This window comes from Homo sapiens, chromosome 4 (genome assembly GCF_000001405.40).
Source record: "Homo sapiens chromosome 4, GRCh38.p14 Primary Assembly".
Lineage (NCBI taxonomy): Eukaryota > Metazoa > Chordata > Mammalia > Primates > Hominidae > Homo > Homo sapiens.
In genome coordinates, this window is record NC_000004.12 from 56,598,319 (window position 1) to 56,615,140 (window position 16,822).

Here is a 16,822-nt window from a genome sequence, read left to right on the forward strand (position 1 = left end):
AACTATGTGCCAGAGCCAATTTTAGCTTTTAGCAAACAAGTAATTCCCCTTGAGCAGCTTATATTCTAATGGGGAGAAATACAGTCAATAAACAAAGTGATAAATGAGCTAATGTGGGTGTTGACATGTGCTATGAAGAAGATTAAGTAAGTCCTGCAGAAGAGGGTAATTAGGCTGACTTGTCTTGCCTGGCCAGGGAAGATCTCCTTGAAGAATGTGATGTATGAGTCTAGAGACTTGAGTGAGGGAGAGGCAGCCAAGCCAAGGCTAAGGGAAGTTTTTTTTTCAAGGAGAACTAGCAAGTGCAAAGGTCCTGAGAGGGAAGGACCTGGTCCAGGGAGTCTGTGTGGCTGGAATCACAGGGATCAAGGAGAGGAGGGGAGGAAGATGAGGTCAGAGGGGTGGGGCAGAAGGCAGATCATGTAGGGCCTTGTAGGCCACAGAAGGAGCCTAAGTGATAGGGTTTGGCTCTGTGTCCCCACTCAAATCTCACCTTGAATTGTAATAATCCCACATGTCAAGGGAAGGACCAGGTGGAAATAATTGACTCATGGGGGTGGTTTCCCCCATGCTGTTCTCCTGATAGTTAGTGAGTTCTCATGAGATCTGATGGTTTTATAAGGGGCTTCCCCCTTCGCTGGGCTCTTACGGTCTCTTGCCCCCGACCATGTAAGATGTGCCTTTGCTCCTCCTTTGCCTTCCGCCATGATGGTGAGGCCTCCCCAGCCACTCCCCAATGGAACTGTGATTCCATTAAACCTCTTTTTCTTAATAAATTACCCCATCTCAGATATTTCTTCATAGCAGTGTGAAAACAGAATACACTAAGTGTGTGTATATATGTATATATACACAATAATATGTAATAATTATTATTATTTTGAAACAGGATCTCACTCTCTCACCCAGGCTGGAGAGCAGTGGTGCTATCACAGCTTATTGTAGCCTCAACCTCCCTGGGCTCAAGTGATCCTCCCACTTCAGCCTCCTGAGCAGCTGTGACCACAGACATGCACCACCATGCCCAGCTAATTTTTTTTGCTCAAAATTATTATTTTTTACTTTATTTTTTAATTTTTTTCACTTTAAGTTCCAGGATACATGTGCGGAATGTGCAGATTTGTTACATAGGTATACATGTGCCATGGTGGTTTGCTGCACCTATCAACCTGTCACCTAGGTTTTAAACCCCACATGCATTAGCTATTTGTCCTAATGCTCTCCCTCCCCTTACACACCCCCTGCCGCTGACAGGCCCTGGTGTGTGTTGTTCCCCTCTCTGTGTCCATGCATTCTCATTGTTCAACTCCTTCTTATGAGTGAGAACATGAAGTGTTTGGTTTTCTGTTCCTGTGTTAGTTTGCTGAGGATGATGGCTTCCAGCTCCATCCATATCCTTGCAAAAGATATGATCTCATTCTTTTTTATGGCTGCATAGTATTCCATGGTGTGTATGTACCACATTTTCTTTATCCAGTCTATCATTGATGAGCATTTGGATTGGTTCCAGGTATTTGCTATTGTGAATAGTGCTGCAGACACTTCTCAAAAGAAGACATTTATGTGGCCAACAAACATATGAAAATAAAACTCAACATCACTGATCATTAGAGAGATGCAAATCAAAACCACAATGAGATACCATCTCACACCATTCAGAAAGGTGATTATTAAAAAGTCAGGAAACAACAGATGCTGGCAAGGCTGTGGAGAAATAGGAATGCTTTTACACTGTTGGTGGGAATGTAAACCAGCTAATTTTTGTTTTTCTTTGCTTTCTTTTTTTTTTTTTTTTTTTTTTTTTTTTGTAGAGATGAGGTTTTGCCATTTTGTCCAGGCTAGTCTTGAACTCCTGGGCTCAAATGATCTGCTCACCTCAGCCTCCCAAAGTGCTGGGACTGATTACAGGCACAAGCCATTGTGCTTGGCTGAGCCTAAGTATTATTTTTAGCAAAATGGGAAACAATAGGATGGGTTTATTTATTTATTTATTTGAGACAGAGTCTCACTCTGTTGCCAGGCTGGAGTGCTGTAGTGTGATCTTGGCTCACTGCAACCTCCGACTCCCTGGTTCAGGCGATTCTTCTGCCTCAGCCTCCTGAGTAGCTGGGATTACAGGCACGGGCCACCAAGCCCAGCTAATTTTTGTATTTTTAGTACAGACGGGGTTTCACCGTGTTAGTCAGGCTGGTCTCAGACTCCTGACTTCATGATCCACCCGCCTTGGCCTCCCAAAGTGATAGGATTACAGGTAGCAACCAACGCATCCAGCCCAGCATGGGTTTAAAGCCTGGTAGCGATATGATCTGATTTGGGCTTTAGAAAGTACTTAGCTCATGAAGCTGTTGTGATGATTAAGTGGGAATGATTTAGGTAAAGCTTAGAACACTGTCTGGCTCACAGAACACACTCATTATATGTTCATTCTCTCCCTCAGTAACTGTCATGGAAGGCTGCATTGTACAGGAGCAAGGATGGAAGCAGAGAGACCAGTTACGAGTCTGTTGCAGTAATCCAGAAAAGAAATGATTGTGACTTAAGTAGGGATATAGCTATAGACATAGAGAAATGTAAAATTTGGGATATATTTTTGTGTCTCTTTGTTTCCACTATAGGTACCTCCTGCTGCCATGATAGCTAAACCTAGCCCCCGAACAATAGCTCTAGCGAAGTCCAAGTCTGTTCATCAAGATTATCTACCTGACCGTGATGCCCATTGGCCAGTATCTTATGCTACTACTCATTCCAAAGCATCACCTAGGATTCAGGAACTAGCTAATCCAAATAAGAGGTATGTCAATTTCAGGCTAAAGTGGGACAGGAAAGGCTGGGGTTCTGGGGAGAGGGAGAAAGTTGACCTAATAAGGCAAATGAAAAGAGTTGTAGAAATATGAAAAGAACTTCCAAAACATCTTACTTAACGAATTACATTTATTGTGATACATCTATGGTCTTCTTACCCTAAATATAAGGCTACTGTTAAAAGGTTAGTGGACTAGGTATTGCAACTTAGATCTAGGATGGGGCAGGTGGATCACACCTGTAATCCTAGTGCTTTGGGAGACCAAGGTGGGAGGATAGCTTGAGGCTAGGAGTTGGAGACCACCCTGGGGAACATAGTGAGACCCTGTCTCTACAAAAAATTCTTTAAAAATATTGGCCAGGCACGGTGGCTCATACTAGTAATCCCAACACTTTGGGAGGCAGAGGTGGGAAGATCGCTTGAGCCCAGGAGTTTGACATCAGCCTAGGCAACAAAGTGAGACCCCCATCTCTTCAAAAAAATACCAAAAATTAGCCAGGTGTGGTGGCATGTGCCTGTAGTTCTAGCAACTTGGGAGGCTGAGGCAGGAAGTCATTGCTTGAGCCCAGGAGTTTGAAGTTACAGTGAGCTATGATCTGCACTCCAGCCCAGGCAGCAGAGTAAGACCTTGGCTCTAAGAAAGAGAAAGGAAAAAGGAAAAAGAAACTTAAGATCTAGGAGACAGTCTGATAAGTATGTGTATGGAATTATTTATCTAACATATATTATTAAGTGAAACAGATTCTAGAACACAGCATGTAATATGTTGCAATTTGTGTAAGAAAAAAAGACATGGGCCATATATTTGTTTGCATATGCCTGTAGTATCTCAGAAGGGTATACAAGAAGCTAGTAACAATGGTTGCCTTTGGGGGCCTAGGGAATTGGGATAGGAGGAAGACTTATTTTTCAATAAATAGGCTTTTGTATTTTTCCAATGTTTTGCATCATGTACGTGTATGGCCTAATTCAAATAGATAAGAATATATAATTAACAAAGAAAAACATTGCCTCTCATTTCTGTTTATTTTTTGGAGGCCTCTTAACTTGCCCGAGCCTCAATTAATTTTGTTACCTTGACGGATAACATCTGATCCCTCTTTTAAAGCATCAATAGCAAAACCTAGGAGAGGCAGAAAAAGTTGTGGAAGTCTTGAGCTCAGGGAAAAGGAAATATGCTAGTCTTATATAATGACATGTTTAAAATGCTGTAATGTGTTTATCCTTTAAAAAAAATAAATTTGCCATCAGATGAAATGAAGCTCATTCTCTGTTCATTAAAGAGAAGAGGCTGGATGCGTTGGCTCACACCTGTAATCCCAGCAGTTTGGGAGGCCAAAGCAGACAGATCACTTGAGCCCAGGAGTTTGAGACCAGACTGGGCAACATGGTGAAACCCCGTCTGTACTAAAAATACAAAAAAGTTTGCTGGGCATAGTGGTGCACGTCTGTAGTCCCAGCTATTTGAGAGGCCGAGGTAGGAGAATCACTTGAGCCTGGGAGGAGGAGGTTGCAGTGAGCAGAGATCGCACCACTGCACTCCAGCCTGGGTGACAGAGTGAAACCCTGTCTCAAAAAAATAAAACAATAAAATAAAAAGTAAAAGAGAAGAATATGATCAAGTGCATTATCAAGGTTTTTATCCTGGTGACAAAATTATTATTTGGTGGTAAGGTGCTGAGAGTGGCCAACTTCAAAAATTTTATTTTCTTAAGTCTACCAGAGAATACTCTGGCTTGTTTTAACATTGACAAATTATGTTATGGTAAATGATACATAGGGGATACAAACTCAGGTCTGTCTGATTCCAAAACTCAAGTTCAAGACTAAGCAACTTCCTGAATTTACTTTCTGGGGAAAGAGAAAAGGTTTTGGAATCTGAGAGACATATAAATCTGGATTTGTCTGTAAATTCATTCATTTAACTTCATTTAACTGAGTCTTGATTTCCTTATCTGTATAGTGGAGGTCATGAAAATAAAATGGGATAATATCATAGTACATAACATACAGTGGATGCTTGAGAAACATTAGCTACCTTCTCTGTTCATCTTATTTCAGGTTGATTTCTTTTTCCCCTATTTCAGGGCTCCTGTGCGTATTGTGTATTATGATCCAGATGTCTTTAAAACCAAGCCAGCTGCTTTGAAAGCACAGTGTTCTCAAAGGATCTGGGAGTTGTCACAACCTCTTACACGTTAAATACAGAAAGCCACAACAGTCAGACCCTGGTTATGTATCTAGAACACATATTAGATGACTTAGTTCCCTGTTGCGGTACTGTCAGTTTACATTCACCCCTTGCTTCCCCTCCCACAAAATGAGACCTTTAGGGAAAACCACCATGATCATTAAATAGCAGTTGTTGCTGTTAACCTGTCGCTGAATCTTTAGCAGATTTGAGGACTCCAGCATGCAATAAATGAGAAAATGAGAGACTGCCTCATTATCCTTACTGTTTCCTCACAAGCATCTTGGCTGCCTCATTGCTGTAGCTGACCTGAAGAAACACTCTTCCTTATATTTGTGGGTTTTGCTTTTCCTTTCCCAGTGAGTTCCATGTTCCCCAGTAACTGATCCTACCTCAGTCCCTTCTCCAGTAAGTCCTGGGAAATGAAATCATTCTTTGTGTTATTTCAGCATCCCCTTATTACTTAGAAAAAACACTGAAAAAGTGAAGCTCTTTTGGAAAAATTGAAATACTTTTTATAGTCTATAAATACAATTTATAATTGAAATTTAGGGAACAGGTTACCTTAATGATGATGTCACCAATCTCTGTTCCTTTACTCATGCCAGAGTCACTTACCATGAATGAGAGAAAAAGCTGTTTGGTAAGCATTAAAATTCTCTGTAAAATTGCATCTGCCCAGAATTTTATTCTCTCTATAGATCAGTATTTTACAAATTAAACTAACTTTTATGGGGCATATCTAGATTTGCATGAAAATGAACTTACTTGAAAGCCAATTTTACAGATGAATGAGTTCTACCTTTAACGTCTTTGTGTTACAGAGGGGTAATACCACATAGCAGTTTTGAACTTGAGTTTTGGAATCAGATAGAACCTGAAGTTGTCTCTGTCATGGATTATTTACCAGGTATGTGATCTTAAACAAATTTCCTAACTCCCTGTGCTGCAGTTTCTTTATGTAGAAAATGGGTTCCTGCAGCATTCTTGTAAAGATTAGATGATAAAATGTATATAATAAAGTATATATTTGAAACAAAAATTTTTATTTAGAAATTTAGCTGTGGCTAGGCACAGTGGCTCATGCCTGTAATCCTAGCACTTTGGGAGGCCGAGGCAGATGGATCACGAGGTCAGGGGTTCAAGACCAGCCTGACCAACATGGTGAAACCCCGTCTCTACTAAAAATACAAAAATTAGCCTGGTGTGGTGGTACACACCTGTAATCCCAGCTACTCAGGAGGCTGAGGCAGGAGAATCACATGAACCCAGGAGGCAGAGGTTGCCATGAGCCGAGATTGCACCACTGCACTCCAGCCTGGGGTGATACAGCAAGACTCCATCTCAAAAAAAAAAAGAAAAGAAAAGAAAAGAAATTTAGCTGTGTTTCACATGTTTAAAGCAGCACAATTCACAATTGCAAAAATATGGAACCAACCTAAATGCCCATCAACCAACAAGTGGATAAAGAGAGTGTGGTATATGTACACCATGGAATACTACTCAGTCGTAAAACAAAACAAAATAATGGCATTTGCAGCAACTTGGATGGAGTTGGAGGCCATTATTCTAAGTGAAGTAACTCAGGAATGGAAAAACCAAACATTGTATATTCTCACTTATAAGTGGGAGCTAAGCTGTGAGGATGCAAAGGCGTAAGAATGATACAATGGACTTTGGGGACTCAGAGGGAAGGCTGGTAGGGGGGTGAGGAATAAAAGATTACATAATGGGTACAGTGTACACTGCTTGGGTGATGAGTGCACCAAAATCTCAGAAATCACCACTAAATAACTTATCTATGTAACCAAAAACTACCTGTACCCCCAAAGCTATTGAAATTAAAAATAAGAAATTTACCTGTGCTAGCTTTCTAAGGGTACAGTGGCATAATTCATATCAGTGGGGAAAATATGCCTTGATTCTTACATTAAATGAATGTCTGTTGAGTGTCTTTGCTTTGCCAGGCCCTGTGCTTGGCACTGGAGATAACACAGTGAACCAAACAGATATGGGTTCTGCTCTCACGGACTCTTTAGCTTATTGGGAGAGATGATTTCATTAGAATATTCACCAATAAATGTAAAATTACAACACTAGCAAGTACTATGAAATAGTGTTATGAAATAACAGAATAGAGAACTTTGATCCCATGGGAAAGTGAGAGAAGGCTTCTCTAATGAAGGAACAACTGGGTTGGATGCTGATGAAATGCCTAACCTTGTTTTTACTTCAACTCATTACTTTGAATTTTGTCCTGCTTGTCTCTTTAAATCACCTAGCCTTGCTTTTCATGTAAATAAGACTCTCTAGCTAGGAAAGCTGGGCAAACTCCAATTGGCCCCTTAATTTACAAGACACTAGGGCTCCTCACCCAACCCCCTTTCGTGAGGAGTTGGCCTGGGTAAACAGATCCTCAGCATTTCAAAGGAGCCCAATTAACTGATAAGGTACCAACACCAACAACGTATGAAGTTCCCAGGAATTTTCTCCAAGAGATAACAACATAAAACCTTGAGTTCGTGTCCGGCATAAACCCTATATCTAATTATAATAAAAGATTTAGAACCTTGCACCTGGTACCGTTGCTCTTCTTGTAACCATTTGTCTTTTAAGTTGTTTATCACTCTGTAACCATTTTGATTCTTTTGATTCTTGCATGTTTTTACTTCTGTAGAATTATTACATTTGAGTCCCCCTCCCCTTCCTAAACCTAGGTATAAAAGTTAATCAAGCCCTTTCCTCGGGGCCGAGAGAATTTTGAGCATTAGCCGTCTCTTTGGCCGCCGGCTTAATAAAGGACTCTTAATTCGTCTCAAAGTGTGACGTTTTCTTAACTCACCTGGGTACAACACTGAAAACTGAGTAGGACTAACTAACCAAAGAGGATACAGGAAGACATTCCAAGTAGTGGGAACATATGTTAAGTGGACAGTTGTTGATTTTTGGATCACTCTGAATTCATTCTTCCTCCTTCTGATAAGAACTGCGCATTTGCTCTTGGAGAATTACTTTCTCCTCATTGTTTAAAGCTTTATGGGGATTTTTATTCAAGGTTTCCTAGCCGAGGTATGGATATGTAACCCAAGTCAGCCACACCCATTGAACTGTCTTCTGGGACTGTGGATCTTAAGCATAGTGAAGCAAGGGTGATGGAGCTGATATTTCCCATATAGGTGCCCTGATGAGACTTCATTTTTCTCCTACTACCTGTGTCCCTGGAGCTGTTCTGACTCCTACCCTGGTGCTCCGGCTATTCCTCTGATGCCGGAACTGCCTTCCAGTAAATCCCCTGAGGCAGATGGAAGGATGCATCAGGGACTGAAAGATTGCCAGTGTGGCTCAAACAGAAAGAAATAGGAGGTTGTGTGAAGCAAGAGGAGGCTGAAGGATGGGAGCCAGACCAGACCACGTAGGGCACTGGAGGACAGGTTAAGGATTTTAGTCTTCATCCTAAAACCAAAGGGAAGCTATTGAAGTAATTTAAGCATGGGGTGATGTGATCAGAGTTGGCTTTTGAAGTAATAGTTCTGACAAATAAATTGGGAAGGGGGCAGTGGAGGTGGGTAGGCCAAGTTAGGAGGTTATTTAGTACGTCATTTTAAAGGTGAAAATAGTTTGTTGGTACCATGGTGGAGACAGTAAGAAGTGACAGGCTCAAGAGCGATTTGAGAAGGTGGATTTATGGGATTTGATGATGGGTTATATATGGGGAGTGGGAGAGGAAAGAATTCAAGATAACTTCTGGATTTCTAGGTTATGAAACAGGATAGAGAGTGCTCTGGTTTGAATGTTTGTGTCCTTCCAAAATTCATGTTGAAACTGAATCCTCAATGCAATAGTATTCAGAGGTGGGGCTTTCAGGAGGTGATTGGGTCTGAAGGACTCTGCTCTAATAAATTGGATTAGTGCCCTTGTAAAAGGGCTTGAGGGAGTGAGTTCATCCCTTTTCTCTTTTTGCCATGTAAGGATGCAGTAAGAAGGTGCCGTCTTGGAAGCAAAGAACAAGCCCTTACCAGATACCGAATCTATTGGCACCTTGATCTTAGACTTCCCAGCCTCAGCTGTGAGAAATAAATTTCTGTTCTTTATAAATTAGCCAGTGTTTGGTGTTTTGTTATAGTAGCCCAAAAAATTGAGGCAGAAAATTAGTACCAGGAGTGGAGTACTGTGTAACAAATACCTAAAAATGTAAAAACAGCTTTGGAACTGGTAATGGACAGAGACTGGAACAGTTCAGAGGAGCAGGCTAGAAAAAGCCTGTGTTGCCATGAATGGAGCATTAAGGGCGATTTCTGGTGAGAACTCAGAAGAGTTGTAGAGAAACCTTCAATCTTCTTAGAGATTACTTAAGTGGTCATGAACCAGACAGTTGGCAGAAATATGGACAGTAACCTGGGCATGGTGGCTCCCGGCTGTAATCCCAGCACTTTGAGGGACTGAGGTGGGAGGATAGCTTGAGCCCAGGAGTCCAAGACCAGCCTGGGCAACATAGGGACACCCCATTTTTATTTAAAAAAATGTTTTTTAAAAAACTAGCCAAGCATGGTGGTGCTTGCCTGTAGTCCAAGCTACTCAGAGGCTAAGGTAGAATTACTTGAGCCTGGGAAGTTGAGGTTGCAGTGAGCCATGATTGTGCCACTGCATTCTAACCTAAGCAACAGAGTGAGACCCTGTCTCAAGAAAAAAAAAAAAAAAAAAGAAAGAAAGAAAAGAAATATGGACAGTAAAGGCCATTTTAGTGAAGTGTCAGATGGAAATGAGGAACAAGATAGTGGAAACTACAGAAGTAAGTTAATAAGTGACAAAAAGAAAAAAAAGAACCTTGGTTACATTGTATTCATATGATATTTGCAGGAGAAGTCTCTAAGCAAAGTGTTGAAGGAGCTGCTTGGCTTCCCTTGACTGCTTGTAATAAAATGTGAGAAGTGAGAATTGAATTAAAGATGGAATTTATAATTAAAAGAGAGGCAGAACTTAAAGATTTGGAAAAGTCTCAGCCTTGTCAAGTTGTAAAGGATAAGAAGCATGGTTGAGAGAGAACACCAAGAGTGTGACCAAGAGAATGTTTGGTAAGGCGATTAGTATGGCTAGAAGGAAGTCAGATGCTATTAATCAAGACAATGGAAGAATGACCCCTAAGGTATTTTGGAGATCTTCAAGGCTGCCACTCCCATCACAAGCCCAGAGTGCCAGGCCCTTGAGGACAGAATGATTTCAAAGCAGGAGCACAGGGCATCTGTGGGACCTTGGGGCCCACTTCCTAGTATTGCCTCACATTTCTGCTCCACAAATTCTGGTGCAGTGCCCCTCAGCCACCCCAGGTATGGCTTCAGTGGGCCCAGGTACAATATAGTTGGCAGAGAGTCCCCACTAAGACAGTGTCTAATGGAGCCATGAGAATAGGGCCACCCTTGTGACCCCAGGTTGGTAGAGCCACCAACATGCAACATCAACCTGGGAGAGCCACAGTCACATGACTCCAAACCCTGCTGACCATGGGTTGTGCCCAGCAAAGCCAAGGGGGTGAGCCCACCTGGGTGAACCTTAGTGTGTTCAGAAGATGGGACATGGAGTCAAAGAAGATCATTCTCAAGCCTTAATATTTAATGTTTGCCTTGTTGGGTTTTGGACTTACTTGAGACCTGTTACTCTTTTCTTTCCTACCTCTCCCTTTTGGAATGAGAATGTATATCCTATGCTGATATCACTATTGTCTTTTTTTCTTTCTTTCTTTCTTTTTTTTTTTTTTTTTGAGACAGAGTCTTGCTCTGTCACCCGGACTGGAGTGCAGTGGCGTGATCTTGGCTCACTGCAACCTCTGCCTCCCGGGTTCAAGTGTTTCTCTGCCCCCCGAGTAGCTGGGATTACAGGTACCCACCATCACGCCAGACTAATTTTTGTATTTTTAGTAGAGGCAGGGTTTCACCATGTTGGCCAGACTGGTCTCGAACTCCTGACCTTGTGATCCACCTGCCTTGGCCTCCCAAAGTGCTGGGATTACAGGCATGAGTCACCGTGCCCAGCCACTATTGTAATTTGAAAGCACATAACTTGTTCGATTTCACAGGTTCACAGCTGGAGGGGGAGTTTGCTTCAAACTAATCATTCATTTATATCTGATTTAGATGATATTTACGTGAGACTTTGGACTTAAACTTTAAAGTTGATGCTGGATTCAGTTAAGACTTTTGGGGCTATTGGAATGAAAAGAATGTATTTTGTAAGTGAGAAAAACATGAATTTGGGGGAACCGGAGGCAAAATGCTGTAATTTGAATGTTTGCATCCTTCCAAAATTCGTGTTGAAACTTAATTTCCAGTGCAACAGTATTAAGAGGTGGGGCCATTAGGAGATGATTAGGTCATAAGGGCTATGCTCTCATCAGCGGGATTAGTGTCCTTAATAAAGAGCTTGAGAGAGTTCATCCCTTTTTCCGTTTTTAGCCATGTGAAGATGCAGCAAGAAGGTGCCATCTTGGAAGGAGCAAGCAGCCATCAATTGACATTGAATCTTCCAGTGTCTTGATTTTGAACTTCCCAGGCTGTAGAACTGTGAGAAATGAATTTCTATCATTTGTGAATTATTCAGTTCATTGTATTTTGTTAGAGCAACCTGAATAGGCTGAGAGAGATAGTGAGAGTCAAACAAATGGAAACACATCCCATGCTTATGGATGGGTAGAGTGAATATTGTGAAAATGACCATACTGCCAAAAGAAATCTACAGATTTAATGCAATTCCCATTAAAATACCACCATCATTCTTCACAGAATTAGAAAAACAATCCTAAAGCTCATATGGAACCAAAAAAGAGCCTGCATACCCAAAGCAGGACTAAGCAAAAAGAGCAAATCTGGAGGTATCACATTATCTGATTTCAAACTACTAAAAGGCCATAGTCACCAAACAGCATAGTACTGCTATAAAAATAGGCACATAGTCCAATGGAACAGATAGAGAACCCAGAAATAAACCCAAATACTTACAGCCAACTGATACTTGGCAAAGCAAACAAAAACACAAAGTGGGGAAAGGACACCCTATTCAACAAGTGGTCCTGGGATAATTGGCAAGCCACATGTAGAAGAATGAAACTGGATCCTCATCTCTCACCTTATACAAAAATCAACTCAAGATGGATCAAGGACTTAAATCTAAGACCTGACACTATAAAAATTATAGAAGGTAACATCAGAAAAACCCTTCTAGACATTGGCTTAGGCAAGGATTTCATGACCAAGAACCCAGAAGCAAAGCAAATGCAACAAAAACAAAGATAAATAGCTGGGACTTAATTAAACTAAAGAGCTTCTGTACAGCAAAAAGAACAGTCAGCAGAGTAAACAGACAACCCACAGAGTGGGAGAAAATCTTCACAATCTATACATCTGACAAAGGACTAATATCCAGAATCTACAATGAACTCAAATCAGTAAGAAAAAAAAATCCCATTAAAAGGTGGGCTAAGGATATGAGTAGACAATTCTCAAAGGAAGATATACAAATGGCCAAGAAACATATGAAAAAAATGCTCGACATCACTAATGATGAGGGAAATGCAAATCAAAACCACAATGCGATACCACCTTACTCCTGAAAGGATGGCCATAATAAGAAAATAACAAATGTTTGTGTGGATGCAGTGAAAAGGGAAAGGGAACACTTCTACATTGCTCATGGGAATGCAAACTAGCATAACCCCTGTGGAAAACAGTGTGGAGATCCCTTAGAAAACTAAAAGTAGAACTATCATTTGATCCAGCAATCCCACTACTGGTTATCTACCCAGAGGAAAAGAAGTCATTATACGAAAAAGATACTTGCACACACATATTTATAGCAGCACAATTCGCAATTTCAAAAATGTGGAACCAACCCAAATGCCCATCAATCAATGAGTGGATAAAGAAACTGGTATATGTATATGATGGATTAATACTCAGCCATAAAAAGGGATGAATTAATGGCATTTGCAGCAACCTGAATGAGACTGGAGACTATTATTCTAAGAAGTAACTGAGGAATGGAGTGTATGTTCTCATAGGTGGGAGATAAGCTATGAGGATGCAAAGGCATAAGAATGATACAGTGGACTTTGGGAACTTGGGGGGAAAGTGTGGGAAGCGGGTGAGGGATAAAAGACTACAAATCAGGTTCAGTGTATACTGCTCGGGAGATGGGTGCACCAAAATCTCACAAATCACCACTAAAGTACTTACTCATGTAACCAAATACCACCTGTTCCCCAATAACCTATGGAATTAAAACATTTTTTAAAAAAGGAAAAAGAGTCAGAATACACAAATGAACAAAAGCCAGGCCACATATGGCAACAGAACTCTGCCTCACAACCTCTGCAGCAACTATGCCAGGAAGCTAAACCACAGCCTCTGCAACAATCATGCCAGAATGGTCAGAATTTGCTCAATGGTGCTTTATTGGTGCCTATGTTTTTGCCCCCACTTCTAACTCAGGACCAACCAGAGAAAGCCAAATACGCTCCCTAAGCCAATCACGTAAGACCCCCTAGTTCTAGTTAACCCCCTTCAACTTCCCCACACAAGCAGCCTCCAATCAGAGCATATCCAAAGCCTCCCCACACCCCTGCTGCTGTAAAGCTTCCCCTCTCCCCTAACTGCCTTTAAGTTTCTGTCAAATGCAAGTGTCTCCCTTGCTTTAGCCAGCTCTAAATAAGTAGCCTGTGCGTGCTCCCATTTGGGTGGTCTTTGTTTATTTTCACAACAATGAGCCCTTCACTGATTTAGGGGACACTGTGTGAGGACCAGAAGAGGAGCGTGGAGAAGCATGTGTTCAGTTCTGGACACATAGATTAGAAGACACCTTTGAGACATTGAAAAGGAGATGTCAGGTACAGCCTGCATTGTGACTTTCATGGACCCAAGGCACTTTTGCCTTCCTGGATAATTAATTTCTTCCTTAAAATAATATTAAAACTTACATTTTATGACGTTGTTGGTATAAAGATGGACATGTTAATATATACTAAAACATTTTTTACCCAAACATTTCTTTTTTTCTTTCTTTTTTTTCTTTCTCACTCTGTTGCCCAGGCTGGAGTGCAGTGGTGCGATCTTGTCTCACTGTAATCTCTGCCTCCCGAGTTCAAGCGATTCTCGTGCCTCAGTGACTACAGGCATGAGCCACCACGCCTGGCTAATTTTTGTATATTTAATAGAGATAGGGTTTCACCCTGGTGGCCAGGTTGTTATTATTATCTTCTTGCTTACTGAATTGTTTACTTTTTTTTTTTCAAGACAGTCTCACTCTGTCACCCAGGCTGGATTGCAGTGGCGCGATCTCAGCTCACTGCAATCTCCACCGCCCGGGTTCAAGCGACTCTCCTACCTCAGCCTCCCAAGTAGCTGGGCTACAGGTGCGTGCCTCCACGCCCGGCTAATTTTTGTATTTTTAGTAGAGATGGGGTTTCAGCATGTTGGCCAGGCTGGTCTCGAACTCCTGACCTCAAGTGATCTGCCCACCTCGGCCTCCCAAAGTGCTGGGATTACAGGAGTGAGCCCCCACGCCCGGCCTGCTAACCTTTTTAATTGCTGGTTGCAGGGCCTAGCTAAGTGCCTGGAATTTCCCAGGCATTTTGAAGGGATTCAAAATCTTTCCTTTATTTCCATGCTTGGGGTGCCCAGCAAACCTCTAAGCGGAGTCCCTGCTCCATCTCATCACAGCCAGGCCCATAAGGGTCCCAAGCTGTCTTCAGTGGTTAGCCTTTGTTCTCCCTTATATAACTCTTCCCCTTCTTCCCAGAGGGTTTTACTTCCTAAGGGCCTGTCTGAGGAGGTGCTGGCCCATGGCCACCCTTGGTAGCAGAGACATGTTACGGGCAGTAAGGGGAGGGAGCCTGAAGACACATATTCTGTTATAGTTTGCGTTGCTTTTTGTTTTCCATCTGGGAGGGGTTGCCAGGTGCCTTCCCTACCCACCAGCTGCATGCGTCTGCCTGCCTGCCTACTCTCTATTACCAAGGTGTGGTCTGCTAGGACTTCCAGGATGCTGGGCACCCTGGGTAGGATTGCAAGACAGGGCAGGCATCAGGCTGGGTATGGAGAAAGGTGGCTTGGTATGGTGGGGAGCAGAAAGAAGCTGTAGACTTCAATGTTGCCCCCTGCAGATACCAGGGACATAATGGTGGTGGGTGGGCAGCTGCTCTGTGGAAAGGCAAGGATGGCTGCGACTCAGGCAGGCGGACATCAAAGAAAAGCAATAACAGACCTCAACTAGCAAACCTCTTTTTGTGTAATGATCTCAGTAGTCAGGAATGTCCCAGAGCTTGGATCATTGGAAAACACCATGCTCCTGGCTTCAGGAAACTTAAAACATGGCCTGAGTCAGGCAGCCATTTCAAATTCCAGCTTCTCTGGGATTATTACCACATAGTTGACTACTGATGGGGAAAGAACAAGTGACTGCATCATATGATTTCAGATGTTCAGGGAAGGTAGTGTAGACATGTGACTAGAATTGTACATTCTGAAATAAGAAAGGATTTGAATGCAGGACCTACCACTTGATCTGTGTATTTGGATAAATTAGCTAACCTCTCTAGGCTTCAATTTTCTCACCTGTAAAATGGAAAGACGAATAGCGCTGTCAGTGCTGGCTCCTCAAGGCACCACCACATAGGCTGTGGACAAAGCAAAGCTGAGTTTATAGCTTACTGAGGTAAGAGGGCTCTCGCTGTCTCAGTGGAGTCCTGGTAGCTTTTAGTCAAGGGGAGGGCCATGTAGGATATTTATAAGAATTCGAGGGGTCCGGTCTAGGACTGGTCTTTCATTGGGAGAGCTTGAATAGGATTGGGCAAGGGATTGATAGACTCTATAAGGAAAGGATTTCCAACAGAGCCTTGGAAAGTTGATGAGACTAGTGGAATACTTTCAGGATAGTAACAATAAAGGTTATTTGCAGCTTCATAATCCTGGAGAAGAGTTTCCTAAAGTAGTGAAGACTGTGGAAAAATATAAGTCATGTTCATGTACATAGTACACTGTGAGGTGGATGGGGTAAGTTTTGAGTTCTCTGATCTTGGCCGGGTGTGGTGGCTCACATCTGTAATCCCAGCACTTTGAGAGGCCAAGCCGGGTGGATCACTTGAGGTCAGGAGTTCAAGACCAGCCTGGCCAACATGGTGAAACCTCATCTCTACTAAAATACAAAATTTAACTAGGAGTGGTGGCACACAACTGTAATCCCAGCTGCCCCAGAGGCTGAGGCAGGAGAACAGCTTGAACCCAGGAGGCAGAGGTTGCAGTGAGCTGAGATCGTGCCACTGAACTCCAGCCTGGGCGACAGAGCGAGATCCGTCTAAAAAAAAAAAGTTTTCTCTGATCTTGCCTCCAGCATGCTTGTGAAGATTAAGCGAGACAATGGATGAAACACTTCTGAGTACAGGCATGGCACAGGGTATATACTCAATGATTGTTATTGCTATTTTTATTTTTCTGTCAAAACCCTATCTCACTTGCCAGTTTGCTAACACATAAAAATTCCACCTCCAGAGTTGTTTCCCCACCACCTAGAGGTTTATCTCTTTTTAAAATGCAAACACAGGCAGAAAAGGTACCTTATTAATCCTTATCAGGCATTTACACCTCAGCATGGATGTTTATAAAATCCTAAATGAGGAGCCCCAGAAGCTTAGAATATAAGCTTTACTAACCCCTTAGGAGAAATAGCACAATACATCCTTATGCTATTTGAGAGGGGCATTGCACATGCCCAGTTCCACATGAGGCAAAAGGACAGCAGTGCCAGATCCAGAATTCCTAAATTCCTCTCCCAATCTGGTGGGTCAG

At 42.2% G+C, this 16,822-nt stretch overlaps 1 protein-coding gene across 7 annotated transcripts in view, besides 1 other annotated feature; it reads left to right on the plus strand.

Moving 5' to 3' along the window:
* SPMAP2L (sperm microtubule associated protein 2 like) overlaps positions 1-16,822 on the plus strand; it is a 95,609-nt gene that overhangs the window by 67,713 nt on the left and 11,074 nt on the right. For 2 of the 7 annotated variants that reach the window (XM_011534357.2, XM_011534361.3), the window contains exons 8-9: positions 2,616-2,791; positions 5,819-5,904. In XM_011534357.2, the coding sequence (XP_011532659.1) occupies positions 2,616-2,791; positions 5,819-5,904 (262 nt within the window). The other 5 variants (XR_941041.2, XM_011534363.3, XM_011534364.2 and 2 more) reach the window with 5 other exon arrangements.
* Positions 7,902-8,403: an enhancer, noted in NCBI's record as "NANOG hESC enhancer chr4:57472386-57472887 (GRCh37/hg19 assembly coordinates)". NCBI's record gives its function as "activates a minimal SCP1, AML or CMV promoter by ChIP-STARR-seq in naive H9 embryonic stem cells {active_cell/tissue: H9 hESC(naive)}" and the evidence as "EXISTENCE:reporter gene assay evidence [ECO:0000049][PMID:30033119]".